Raw genomic sequence first — 15,446 nt, forward strand, 5'->3', positions numbered from 1 at the left:
TATCAGCCACTTGTGTGGCTAACTCCTAAAATTACCACTGAAAAGAAGATTTATGCTTTAGGAGTCTCACTTGCCTCTGTTTGAGCCCTAAGATATCATGGTCAACGGCACCCTCTTAAAATCTATTTTTACCAGTTATAATTGTTAAGGAATAATTTTCTAGTTATAATTGTTATACAGAAACTGCACAAAATTAACATATACAATTTGGTGATTTTGTACATATGTATAAACTCATGTTACCTTCACAATCCAGGTTATAAATATATTCGTCACCTCCAAAAGTTTTCTTGTGTGCCTTTGTGGTTTTGTGCTTGGGGGAAGTAAGAACACTTACTATGAAATTTACCCTGCTAACAAATTTTAGGTACACAATACCTTATTGTTAACTATAGGCACTGTGTTGTACAGCCAATAAGGCCAAAATTCTTGTATTTTATATGCATCTATCCATATGGCCCCAGAGTTAATGGGTGCCTCCTCTACTCGCTTGCCCTTTGAAAATGCACAGAGCTAGCCATGCCTTGTAGAGGAATTATTTGGCCAACCCACTTCCCATTGCTTGGAACCAACCGTGAAATAATTAGAACACTGCCATCTCTTTCTCCATTATGTTTCTAGAAATTAGGGCAAAATAGGAGGCTAGAGGAAGCATAAAATAAAAGCTAGACTTCAGACCAGAGGAAAGCTGAGAGAATAACTGTTTTGAGGTATCCTCTGATCAATGCCACTTAATCTGTCACCTTCTAGTTTGCGCATCTGTTCATGATCCCTATTCTTAATACTCTTGCTTGATCCTGGATCCTTCTCAGAATACTTAGCCTAGCTTTAGAGAAAAAGCTTAAGCAATTAACTACATTGCAATGTGAAATGTGGTCAATATCTAAAAGATGTACAGTTAAAGCATTATATATAGGAATTCAGAGGAGAGGTTACTATATATGCTTGAATACAAGGCAAGTCATTTTTCTACAAATGACCTCTCCCTTATATTGCATTCCGTATACATTTTTCCAGAATACATGTTCTATCAGTAAATATACTTTGAACAACAAACTACTATTCCAGAAAAATATATTAGCCTAAACCAGTGGGTCTCTTACTTCAGTGTACATCAGAATCAACTGGAGGGTTTGTTAAAACACAGATAGCTGAGCACCATCCTAAAACTTTCTGAGGTCTAGGGTGGGGCTGAAACAGGCATAGTTCTAACAAATAGCCAAGTAATGCTTATGCTGCTGGTCTGAGGACCTCATTTTGAAAACCACTGCTCTACTAATATTGGTTTTAGATCAGTGGTTCTAAACTCTTGTTGCACATTAGAATCATCTGGGGAGATTTCACAAACTAACATTCCAAGGCTCCGTCCCAGATCAATTAAATTAGAATACGGGAGAGAGGACCTCAGTGTGCCCTGCTTGTAGTTTTTAATGCCCTTCAGGTAATTCTAGGCTACGGCCAGGGTTGAAAGCACCTGTTTTAAATCAGTATCAACCAATTTCAGCTAAAATAATCAGGGTTTTTTTTTTCTATATTACAAGTCACCAAGCAAAAAATAATAATCAGTTTTTTAAAGAGGAAAACACATTTGGCCTAAACTCAGTAAATAATCCTGGGGCATGTGGCTTTACATGTGCAAATGAGGATACATGGTTAATTTGTGGAAATCACTAATATATGCCTAAAGAATGGAAAATAAGAAACAAAACACTCTTCTAATCACACAGGTACGGATTTTTGCAGCTTGGGTTAAAGCTTCTAGTAGCAACATTATAGGAAGTGGTATATATCAAACAACATAAGTGAAAGCAAAGATGGTATCTTATGTAAAACCATGTTGGAGGACCAAAAGGAGTGACCTCTAATGATCATAAAGACAATGATACTGAAGGTACAGGTGCCAAGTTTGAAGAACATTGTTCAAAAAAAGTGAAAACAGAACAAAGCACTATTTCTAAAATCACTGAGGTTTTATAAATGTGATTTTAAATATGCATGTGTAACTCTATTGATACATTTGATATTGTCAGTAGACTAATATAGTAGGAATATACATTGGTCAAATGTATTGAGTACTAGCAATACAGATGTGAAGCCATCATTGAGAATTATCTTCAAAAGTACATTCGAAATATATTCAAATATATTCGAATATCTTCGAAATACATGCGAGTCAGCCAATATTTTTATTCTCTGCATGCATAAACTTGGATAACATCTCATACCCAGGGATATACAGAATTTTTGGCTAAGAGTATCAGGAATGTCTTTCTGGGAGAGGTGGTATTTGAGCTGGCCTTCATAAAATAAGTAGGTATTCATCAAGTAATTCAAAAGTAGAAAGTTCTTCCAAACAGGAGAAACCACACGAGTGATGGAATTGTGAAAAGAAAGCAAAAGGTGAGTAGTAAAGACGCCAAGATGAAAAAGTAATACACTGCTAAATCGTGGCGACTTAACATTAAGATAAGGAAATTTTACTTTTATTCAGAGTATTTTCCAGATGATGCCCCCTCCAGTAACAGATTTCTGATTGGAAACATCCTTATTGCTCCTCAACCCTCTTCAGCCTTCACTTCTCTTCAGAAAAAAACTTGAAATTTTCGAAAATGACTCTAAATGATGGCTTAACACCTGTATTGCTAGTCCTCATCTGACTTTTAAAAACTCTATGTCATAGACTCCCATGAACAGTTAGAGATCTTGAAGAAAAAAAAGTCGTCACATAAACGTAGTATTCCAGTTACCTATTACTGTGTAACATGCATCCAAAAATTTAGTGGCTTCTAAAATCAATTTATTATCTTTCATGATTCTGTTTATTAACCAGGTGTTTCTTCTGCCTCACATGGTGTTGGCTAAGATACAGGGATATCTAAAAAGTTCAGAATGGCTCTACTCACATGGCTGGCTACCGGATGGTTACTGAGCTCAACTGGAGGCTTTAGTTCTCCTGCAGGTGGGACTCTCCACATAGCTACTTGGGTTTCTTCACAATAGGGTAGATGGGTTCGAAGAATGACCATTGAAAAAGGTGAATGAGTAAGCTACAGATCTCTTAAGGCTCATCCTTTGATGTTACGCAGTATCACTTGAGATGCATTCCATTCCAAACAAGTCAGAGGAATGGGCCAGATTCAACAGGGAAAAAAGGCAGACTCCACCTTTTCATAAAGGAGTGACAAGATCACATTGCAAAAGAGTATGTGGGATGGGAAACATAGTTACTGCCATCTTTGAAGACACAATGTACCATACACACAGAAGTCTAGCCATTAACCAATACGTGGGGACTTCAGGGATTAGCAGTAAATATGATGAAAATATTGTACAAAATTATATAAATTAAAACATTTAAAAATCTTCTTAAAGCATAATGACAAATCAAAAATTAGCCCAGACTGAGAAGGTAAAGATCTTTACTACTCTTCATCGGAATGGCATAATAGATATAGATAAAACCAGCTGCAATGTTGTCAGCTAAACAGTAGGTGCTGGACCATAATAATTCCAAGGAAGCAAAGTGGATCTGAGTTTTAATAAATAAATATATATATTAAATATTTATATATAATTTTCTAGAAAATATGATACATATACATATATATAATTTTCCAAAACACCCTTCATGGTCATGTCTTTCTTATTCAACTTAATGATGGTAGCAGTGGTGATAGCAGCAGGAGGATAACAGTAGAATCCATTTTTTTAAATCATAACATTTTTATGGGGATTTCCAGTTTCCAATTCTGCATGTAAGGAATTTGGAAGTCATCACTTTGTCCTAACGATAGAAAGCTGAACAAACTGAAAAATCAATAATTCTTCTTAGATCCATAAGAGAAGTGTGGTCACAAGGCAAACTGCTGCCCCCAAAATTGAAGAGACAGATAGGTGGATACAGAGAATCACAACATAGCAGAGCAGAAACCTCTTTGGGAACCAAAGCTGATGCAGGAAAATCTGGACTGAAATTGACAAATTGCCGTAGGCAGGGCATGGACACCTTGGAGTTAAAAGCTCCAAGGTGGGCAGGGCATGATGGCTGACGCCTGTAATCCCAGCGCTTTGGGAAGCTGAGACAGGAGGATCACAAGGTCAGGAGTTCGAGACTGGCATGGCCAACATGGTGAAACATCATCTCTAATAAAAATACAAAAATTAGCCGGGTGTGGTGGCACGCGCCTGTAGTCTCAGCTACTCGGGAGGCTGAGGCAGGAGAATCACCTGAACCCAGGAGGCGGAGGTTGCAGTGAGCCAAGACCGTGCCATTGCCCTCCAGCCTGGGTGACAGAGCAAGACTCCATCTCAAAACAAAACAAACAAAACAAAACCTCCAAGGGGACCCAGTAAAGGGAAGCAGGGGTTTTATCAGTACCTAACTGACCTGGGAGAAGGGAAATACTCAACTCCGGTCCACTCTAGCCAACCTGCCCAGGCTAAGAGGAGAAAACAAAACTGAGAAACATTTGTGAAGTTCACAGTCCAGAGGCATAGGCTCATTAAAAGACTGAGATATAATCAAAGGATTATAGAATGCTTCCTCAACACACACTTTACCACCACATTACTAAAGTCCTATTTACAGCAGTTCCTTTTACCTATTTCTCAATATCTGGCTATCAATAAAAAAAAAAAGGCATACTAAAAGGCAAAAAACATAACAAAACAAAACAAAAACACAGTTTGAAGAAACAGAGCAAACATCAGAACCAGATATAGTAGGGATATAGGAATTATCAAACAAGGAATTTAAAACATTAATCATAAAATCAAATATGCTAGAGGCTCTATTGGTTAAAGTAGACAGCATGCAAAAACAGATGGGCAGTGTAAGCATAGAGAAATACAAATCCTAAGAAAGAACCAAAAAGAAATGCTAAAATCAGCAACACTGTAACAGAAATGAAGAATGCTTTTGATGGGCTTATTAGTAGACTGAAAACAGCTGTGCAAAGAATCGCCAAGCTTGAGAATATACCAATAGAAATTTTTAAAAGTGAAAAGCAAAGATAACAAAGACTAAACATAAAAACAAAATAAAAAAATAAAAAGAATTTAAGAAAAAGATAAGACTGAATTAAAAAATCAGAACACAATATTCAAGAACTGTGGGACAACTATAAAAGGTGTAACATACATATATTGGGAATACTAGAAAAAGAAGACAAAGAAAGGAACAGAAAAAAGTATTTGAAAAAATAATGACTGAGAATTTTTCCAAATTAATATCAGAACCTAACCACACATACATGAAGTTCAGAAAACCCCAAGCAGAATAAATGTAAAAAAAAAAAAAAAAAAAAAAAAAAAACTACACCTAGGCATATCATTTTCAAACTACAGGAAGTCAAAGACTTTTTTTAAAAAAATTCCTGGCTGGGTGCGGTGGCTCACGCTTGTAATCCCAGCACTTTGGGAGGCCGAGGCAGGCGGATCACAAGGTCAGCACATCGAGACCATCCTGACTAACACGGTGAAACCCCGTCTCTACTAAAAATACAAAAATTAGCGGGGCGTGGTGGCAGGTACCTGTAGTCCCAGCTACTGGGGAGGCTGAGGCAGGAGAATGGTGACAACCCGGGAGGTGGAGCCTGCAGTGAGCTGAGATGGTGCCACTGCACTCCAGCCTGGGCTACAGGGCTACAGAGCGAGACTCCGTCTCAAAAAAAAAAAAAAAAAAAAAAAAAAAAAAAAAAAAAATCCTAAGAGAAGCCAGAGAGGAAAAATAATTTACATAAAGAGAAACAAAGATAAGAAATACATCTGACTTCTCTTCAGAAACCATGCAAACAAGAAGACAGTAGAATGAAATACTTAGTATTGAGAGAAAAAAGGCCCACCAACCTAAAATTCTATAGTCTACAAAATTATCCTTCGAAAAAAAGGCAGAAATCAAGTTTTTCTTAAACAAACAAAAACTGAAGTAATTTGTTACCTATAGACCTGCTTTGCAAGAAATATTAAGTTATTCAGAGAGAAGGAAAGCAATACAGGTCAGAAACTCATATCTACCTAAAGAAAGGGCATTGAAAAAAGAATGAATGCCAGTAAAATAAAAACTGTTACTTTTTTTATTCTTAATTGATCTAACATCTAACAGATCAAAATCATACTAGCAATAATGTATTTCATTATACATACTTGTATGTGTATGTATTCATATATATGTGTGTGTATATATATATATATATAGTGTGTGGGGTATGTGTGTCTGGGCTTATATAAAGGCATAGCTCATTTTATTGCATTCCATTTTATTACAAATTGCATTCCATTTGTAAAAAAAATTGCATCTTTTTATAAATTGAAGGTCTGTGGTAACCCTGTATTAAGTAAGTCCATCAGGGCCATTTTTTCAACAGCATGTGCTCACTTTCTGTCTTTGAGTCACGTTTTGGTAATTCTCATAGTATTTCAAGATTTGTCATTATTATTATATCTGCTATGATGATCTGTCATCAGCGACCTTTTATGTTACTACTGTAATTGTTTTGGGGTGCCATGAACCATGCCCATATAAGATGGCAAACAATAGATAAATGTTGTGTATGTTCTGACTGCTTCACCAACGGCCATTCACCCATCTCTTTCTCTTTCCTTGGACCTCCCTATTCCCTAAGAAACAAAAATATTGAAATTAGGACAACTAATAACCCTACAATGGCCTCTTAAGTGTTCAAGTGAAAGGAAGAGTCATATGTCTCTCGCTTTAAATTCAAAGCTAGAAATGATTACACTTAGTGAGGAAGGCATGTCAAAAGCCAAGAGAAGCCAAAAGATAGGACTCTTGTGCCAAACATTGGCCAAGTTGTGAACGCAAAGGAAAAGTTCTTGAATGACATTAAAAGTGCTACTCCAATGAACATGTGAATGATAAGAAAGCAAAACAGCCTTTTTGCTGATATGGAGAAAGTTTGAGTGGTCTGGATAGAAGATCAAACTAGCCATAACATTCCCTTAAGCAAAGGCCTAGTCCATGAGAAGGGCCCAACTCTCTTCAATTCTATGAAGGCTGAGAGAAGTGAGGAAGCTGAGAAGAAAAGTGTGAAGCTAGCAGAGGTTGGTTCATGAGGTTTAAGAAAAGAGGCCAGGCGCAGTGGCTCACACCTGTAATCCCAGTACTTTGGGAGGCCGAGATGGGTGGATCACCTGAGGTCAGGAGTTCGAGACCAGCCTGGCCAACATGGCGAAACCCCGTCTCTACTAAAAATACAAAAATTAGCCGGATGTGGTGGCATGCGCCTGTGCTCCCAGCTACTCAGGAGGCTGAGGCAGTAGCAGCGCTTGAACCCAGGAGGCAGAGGTTGCAGTGAGCCAAGATCGCACCACTGCACTCCAGCCTGGGTGACAGAGCGAGACTCTGTCTCAAAAAAAGAAAAGAAGAGAAGAGAAGAGAAAAAAAAGAAATGAAAAAAGAAGCCATCTCTATAATACAAAAGTACAAGGTAAAGCAGCAAGTTCTGGTATAAAAGCTGCGGCAAGTTATCAGGAGGATCTAGCTAAAATCACTGATGAAAGTGGCTACATTAAACAACAGATTTTCAATTTAGATGAAACAGCCTTATAGCAGAAGAAGATGTTATCTAGAACTTTCATAGCTAGAGGTGAGAAGTCAATATGCATATGAAAAGATGCTTTCTTTAATCAGTTTTGTAGCTTTCCTCATACAGATTTTGTCCATGTTTCATTAGATTTATACCTAAGTATTTCATTTTGGGGGGTGCTACAGCAAATAACACTGTGTTTTTAAATTTCAAATCTTACATGTCCATTGTTGGTATATAGGAGAGCAATTAATTTTTGGATATTAACTTTATATCCTGCAACCTTGCTATAATAGCTTATTAGTTCCAGGAGGATTTTGTCAATTCTTTCAGATTTTCAACATTGACAAATATGTCATCTACAAATAAGAACAGTTTTATTTCTTTCTTTTCAAACTGTGTATCTCTTATTTCCTTTTCTTATCTTTTTGCTAGCTAAGACTTCCAGTATGATACTGAAAATATGCTCCACATCACGTGTCATTAGGGAAAGGCAAATTAAAACAACAATGTGATACCACTATACATCTATTACGACGGCCATAACCCAGAACAGTGAAAATAGTAAATGCTCGCAATGATGTGGAGCACAGGAATTCTCATTCTTTGCTGGTAGAAATGTAACATGGCACAGCCACTTTGGAAGACAGTTTGGTGATTTCTTCCAAAACTAAACATACTTTACTATACAATCCAGCAATCACCTCCTTGTTATTTACCCAAAGGAATTGAAAACCTATATCTATACAGAAATTTGTACACAGACGTTTAGAGCGGCTTTATTAATTGCCAAAACTTGGAAGCTGCCAAGACATCCTTTAGTATGTGAATGAATAAACTGTGATACATTAAGACAATGGAATATTATTCATATGCTAAAAAGAAATGAGCTATCAAGCTATGGAAAGACACTGAGGAAACTTAAGTTCATATTACTAAGCGAAAGAAGCCAATATTGAAAGGCTACAGACTATATTATTCCAACTATATCACATTCTAGAAAAGGCAAAATTATGGAGGCAGTAAAAAGATCAGTGGGTTTCCAGGTGTTAGGGGAAGGGGAGGTATGAATAGGTAGAGTACAGAGGAATTCTAGGGCAGTGAAAATACCCTATATGATAGTATAACGGTGGATACATGCCATTCATACATTTGTTCAAATGCATAGAATGCACAACGCCCATGTAAACTATGGACTCTCAGTAATAATGATGTCTCAGTGAAGTTCATCAGTTGTAACCAGTGTACCACTCTGGTAGTGGATGTTTATAACCGGGGAGACTATGCATTTATAGGGTACAAAGTTTACGGGATATCTCTGTATCTTCCCTTCCATTTTGTTGTGAACCTAAAACTGCTCTCAAAATTGTCTTTAAAAAAATCTTAACTACCATTTACTGAATTATTCCTCTATACTAAGGACTGGAAGCCATCATTTAATTCTCACTCAACATTTAATTCTCACAACCACCCTATGAGAAAAGTACCACCACCTCAATTTTATAGAAAAGAGAAGCCTAAAGAGGTTATACACTTTTCCTAAAGTACACAGCTAGCAACCCATGAAGATGGGGTTCTAACTCAGGAGTTGACAGGTTTGTTGTTATTGTTTTCTATAAAGGACCAGAGAGTAAACAATATTGGCTTTGTGGGTCACTTGGTCTCTGTCTCAACTACACAAGTACTCTACTCTGCCACTATAGCATGAAAGTGGCCAAAGACAACATGTAAACTAATGAGCATGATTGTGTTTCAACAAAACTTTATTTATAAAAATAAGCAGTGGGTAAGATTTGGCCTGCAAGCCATAATTTTCTGACTCCTATTCTTGCTCAAGACTGATCTAAGCTTCTTGACTCAGATTTCATGAAAAAATGTTTTTTATATCTTTACATCCCCATCAACATCTAGCACACCAAGCACGTATGCATAGGCACTCAATAAATATTTGTTGATGGAATGACCAATAAATAAATTAATTCAACTAACACTTATTGGGCATCAACTATGTCCTAGGCACTGTTGTAATCACTTGTCCTAGGCACTGTTATAATCACTTGATATATGTTACTGAACAAAACAGAAATCCCTGCCTGTGAGGAGCTTACAATTTACAAATCTCCAACTCATATAGCATAATTATACGGGTTTCATATTGCTGCCATAACAAATTCCCACAAACATGGTGGCTTAAAACAACACAATTCTGTTATCTTACTGTTCTGTAGGCAAGAAGTCCAACATCAGTCTCACCAGGCGAAAATGAAGGCATTAGCAGGGCTGCATTCCTTTTTGGAGGATCTAGCGGAAGATTTCTTTCCTCACTCATTATGGTTCTTGGCAGAATTCATTCTCTAAACACTCCCAGTATCTCAGATACTCCCAGTGTCTCAGAACTAGCAACTGGGTGTTGAATCATTCTCCTGCTTCCATCTTTCTTTCTGACTACAACCGGGAAATGTTCTCCAATTTTGAGGACCCATGTGATTGGGTCCTTAAATTGGGCCGACTTGGATAATACAGTATAATCTCCCCATCTCGAGATAACGTTAGTCACATTTGCAAAGTCTGTTTCGTCACGTAAGGTAACATATTGACAAGCGCCAGAGAGTAGAACATGGGCATCTTTTGGGGGACATTATTCTGTCTACCACAAATGCCATCATAGAATTTTATATTAAATCTGATGAATTTGATCTTTGCCAATGGATCATAATTCTAGTGAGTCAATATGACATAAATAATAAATTATTTAATTATAAATAAAATTATAAATTAATGTGTGTGATAATCCATTAATCTCAGAATAAATTACACTTTTCCCAGCTTTGCTCAAACCTGTAGATCTGAGAATTGCTACTGCTCAAGCCAGTCCTAAATAATGCCAGCAGTTTTCAAAGACTCTTACCTAAAATTAAAAACATTAAAAATAAGTCTTTTTATCATAAGCCTGGCATATCTTGAAGGAATTCTCCATTTTGAACACAAACTGTGCATTCTTAGCTCCTGCCTAAAAATAGGATTCCTACATGTCATTGAATTGAAGTGCTGCCCCTGCCCTTGCCATGTTAGCTCAGGCCACTTGACTGGGCCTCTGCCTTTGTTTTATGATTTGCCTTTCAGTCCCCTAACATTGACTAGAATTTTAGCTGCAAAGCTGTCATCTTCCCTAACCCTTACCAATCCCCCCAACTGCATTTATATTACAGGCAGTGGTCACGTCTTCCTCCAACTGAGATGGACAATATCAATCATAATGCAAGACTTTTAGCTCCAGGAGAGTTACTCTCTGGTTTGCCCAACCTTTTATTGATGATAGACACTATCTAAACTGGCCCAGTTTCCCCTAAGCCACAGCATTGAGGCTTGGTCTGCTCATCACTCTAGCTTCTCAACACCAGGCCTGCCCTTAAAGCTAGCCTAGTTCCCAAAATCCAACCCTAGGTGTATTATTTGTCTTCCTTAATGGCCCCACCATCTACCCACGGTTAAATTAAAAACCCTGGAGGAATTTTCAATTCCACTCTGCCTTTATCACCAACTTTAAATCACCATATTGTTCTGATCACCATGGAACAAACAGAGAAGGACTGGCTTGGCAAGGGAAATAACAGTTTCTGTTTTAGAGAAAAGGCCCACTTTTCACCCCTAGACATTCAGCAACCCTCGCCAATGAAGCACCCTCAGGTCACGGGAGAAGGTTCTTTATAATCTCTGGAATGAAGGGAGACTTTTGAAAGTTCTGGTTCTGGTTCGAGTAGAAAGAATATTAATCTTAGAGTTTTAAAGACCTGATTTCTTTTTTAGGCTCTGCCGCCTACTTTGACCATTTTTTCAACTAGGAAATGCAAATAACACCTACCTTACGGGGTGGCTGTGAAAATTAAATAAGGTAATGAGTATGAAAGCACTATGTAAAAGGCACGTATCAGCTGTTATCATTATGATTATCCTACTAATACCCCCTGTCTCCACTGCAGCAAATATTACTACTGTTCAGGGTGATGGGTGAATATTATAAAGCTAATCATTCAGATGCATTCAAAAGACCATTCACTTTTGTTTTATCGTATTAGCAGAGGTTATTTTATTCTAATCCTGTCCATCAAGTTACATTTTGGACAGAGCTCAGTCTGATCGAACCTGCCAATATCAGCTTGGGTCTACTTAAAGATTCATTCAACCACCTTCTCTGAAAGCACAAGCCAACATTTGTGTATATCTGTATCATAAATCACATGCTAACAAGTGCCAAAAGCAGTCACCTCTTTTATGAATCAGTCATTGATTCCCAAGACTGAATTAGCCCCTTCTTCTCCTATTTACCATCATATGTTGCCAACTCTGTGATAGCATTTATAATATGGCATTATAATGGTGTCTTTGACCTTCTACAAGAGATGGTGAGCAACTGTAGGGTAGAGATTTAGTCTTTGTATTCTCATTCATGGCACACAGTAGATAGCCAATACATGTTTATTAAAATAAAGGAGGGAGAGCCGGGTGCGGTGGCTCATGCCTGTAATCCCAGCACTTTGGGAGGCCGAGGCGGGTGGATCACCTGAGGCCAGGATTTCAAGACCAGCCTGACCAACATGAAGAAACCCGGTCTCTATTAAAAATACAAAAAATTAGCCGAGCATGGTGGCACATGCCTGTAATCCCAGCTACTCAGGAGGCAGAGGCAGGAGAATCGCTTGAACCCCGGAGTCAGAGGTTGCAGTGAGCCGAGATCGTGCCATTGCACTCCAGCCTGGGCAACAAGAATGAAACTCTGTCTCAAAAAAAGAAAGAAAGAAAGAAAGAAAAATAAAGGAGGGAGTAGAAGGAGATCCACACTATAGGGGAAATTACCACTTAAATAGCTACATTGCTCTAGCATATTTTAGGTATGCAGGGATTTCAAAGAAAGGAGAAACAAAATAAAGAAAAACCATTCTTTCCAAAAATCTCCAGTTTACTTTTCTATAGCATGTTTAAAAGGTGTTATCAGTTGTTTGTAAGTGCAATATAAATTAGGCTAATTATTCCAAACACTTCACATTAGAGATACGTGAAAGAAGCAGCAGTTTATTTGAACCTCTCAGCTCTTGAATGACCTGTGCCTTCTGGAGAAGGAGAGAGCTTAAGTTTTATTTAGAGAAAAATCCAGCATTACATATAGAATATAGATGTGTTTCTGAGAAGGAAGACCAGAGAGGGAGGAAAATTTCTCATTTGGAAAGTTGTTCCTATAAGAATTTTAATTACATACTTTCAAATAATAACATCACCTATCTTGATATCATATAATCCCTTCTTGGTAATCTTCCTTGATATTTAAGTCTAAAATTAGCCCAAGTAACCCTTGGATTATATGCAAATGAAAATTCTGTGCTATTGCAGATACTTTTTAAGGCACTGCTACCATTGGAAAACATGATTCTCCTGGGTTAGGTAAGAGGTCAGGGCTTCAATGACTACCCTACTGCGCTTCAGTCATGCATCACAAATGTTGACATGTACCCCTGAGAGTCTTGCGGAAATGCAGATTCTGATTCAGTGGGTATGATTCAGTGGATCCAGGTCATGTACAAAGGATCGGAAATGAGACTATTTCTGACCTTTTAACATTTCCAACAATTTCCCAGGTGATACCCAAGCTGCTGATCTGCAAACCACACATTGAGTAACAAAGTTATCATAGACATGGTGATTTTTAAAAATTCACTATCAGTGAAATTTTTTAAGGTAATCTGCCACTGCACTTCCCCTATGTCAGTGGTTATGAAAATTTTCCACTTAACACCTTTTACTTGAGAGAATAACAGCTTTAATAAGCAGCCTTGAAACACTGAAGCTTTTAGTTAGTCCGAATTTAACCACTATGCAAAATGTGGCTTATGTGATGATTAAGAAATGATAACATCCTTGGCAGATGAGGTAAGTTATATTTAAGCTACATTTTTTCTTCAAAAAGTCCTTTTTCTATGGCTCAACATGGGAATAAAAGGGATTCTCATCTCACGTGACCATTTCCCAGTAATGAGATAGCTCTTGGAATAATTTAACTGACCAGGAGAGCCAATCCAGAGAGCCCTTAATCAGTAATGACAAATTGAAGCACCTTAAAAGTAAAAGAAGTTGTGTTTTCCAACGCTTGCCATTTTAGATTTTAGCCATGCCCTAGAGTTATAAAACTGCTTCCTCATCAATCCATTCTCCATGCCACTAACATTACTTATTTTGGCTGAGCATTCAAGAGTAGAAATTTTAAACTAAATGATAGAAGAACTACAGCTCCTAGACAGCATACATTACGCCATGGCAGTATTGAAAATCTGCAGGCCCTCACACTCAGATTGAAAGTTTTCCCTCTCATTTTCCCCTTCTCACTAATCCTCTTTTTTTCTCAGTTTCCTCCCTACCTTAAGCAGTTGATATGCTGTATAAAACTTGTGGATGAAGTAAATCTTATGAGAAAAAGTATATTTTAAGTGCACTTAACAAAAATTACTTTTTGTGATGAATTCTATATAAAGAAATAAATTATTCTTTGTAAACAAACATTCCCCAAATATCTGTTAACAAATTTTTCAAGCTCTTGTCTCATCATTTTAAAGCAGAATATCTCTACACTTTCACTTAACACATCACTTTAAATACTTTCGTTTTGTTTACTTCAACAAAGGGAAACTAACAGCCATGAGATTGGTGAAGGATCTGGGGCTATCAAGAGCAGTAGATGGCTACTAGTAGTAGGGCAGAAAAATAATGGAGAGATCCATTATCTAGAACCCAGGAAGATCTGTGGTTATAGGAAAAAGACACCCTGTGCCCTTGGATACAGGAATACAGCCACTTCCCTTCCACTGGTCAAACTGAACCCTAAATTGACAATGTCAATAGAGGTCAGACTCCTAAAGCACAGAGCAGGACAGCAGGGTAGAAAAGCATGGAGATAGAACTTGTAAGGCTGTAAAAAGAGCACTGGGCACAGTGGCAGGTATACGTAACATATAGGAAATAGGAGAGTTGAGGGAACATTCACTTACTGAATGCTGAGACCATTAATCCCTTCCCCACAGTCACAGTAGCCAGGCTTCAATACTCGAGGCAGGAGATTGGATGGTTCATCTCTAGGGGATGAAAAAGAAATGAAAAACTAGATTAAATATTGGAAGACAAAATTGAGAAAAAAATAATGTAAAGCAAAAAGACAAAGAAATGAAAAATTAGAGGATAAGAAAAGTGAGAAGGAAGCCAACAGTTCCAACATAAATAAACAGTTATAGAGTCCCAGAACATGAAGGGTGATAATGAAGGAGAAGAAATCATCAAAAAATAAAATTCAGCAAAACTTTCCAGATGGATTTCCAGATTGGAAAGACTTGCCAACTATGCAGCACAATAGATGAAATCAGGCCCTCACCAAGGGAACTTTACCATAGAATTTAAGAGCACGGAGACAAAATGAAGATACCGTGAGCTTCCAGAGAGGGAGAAAAAACAGGTCATATACAAAGGATCAGAAATGAGACTATTTTTGACTTTTTAACAGCAAAGTAAGAAGCCTGTAGGCAATGGAGCAATACCACCAAACTTTTGAAGGAACACAATACCCAACCTATAATTCTACACTTAGCCAAGTTACCAATTAGAAGACTTTTTCAGATATGCAAAAACTCAAAATTTTATCTCCTAGCATCTCTTTCTCATTTGGTTACTGAAAAATGTGTTATATCAAAATGAAGGGTGTAAACCAGAATAGAGGAGGAAGTCGAATACAGAAAACATAAAACTCAGAGACAAAGATATCCCAGAATGACCCATATGCACCATGCAGAGAAAATAACCAGTCCAATTCAGAGAGATTTCTTCAGAAAAAAATAAAATACCTGATGCATTAGGGAGAATTTA

At 37.5% G+C, this 15,446-nt stretch overlaps 1 long non-coding RNA gene across 1 annotated transcript in view; it reads right to left on the bottom strand.

Moving 5' to 3' along the window:
- PTCHD1-AS (PTCHD1 and PHEX antisense RNA) overlaps positions 1–15,446 on the bottom strand; it is a 1,100,142-nt gene that overhangs the window by 856,452 nt on the left and 228,244 nt on the right. The window contains exon 3 of the long non-coding RNA NR_073010.2: positions 14,582–14,665. This is a non-coding gene — a long non-coding RNA (PTCHD1 and PHEX antisense RNA). The remainder of the gene's footprint in view (positions 1–14,581; positions 14,666–15,446) is intronic.

The sequence above is a fragment of the Homo sapiens genome, chromosome X (genome assembly GCF_000001405.40).
Source record: "Homo sapiens chromosome X, GRCh38.p14 Primary Assembly".
NCBI lineage: Eukaryota > Metazoa > Chordata > Mammalia > Primates > Hominidae > Homo > Homo sapiens.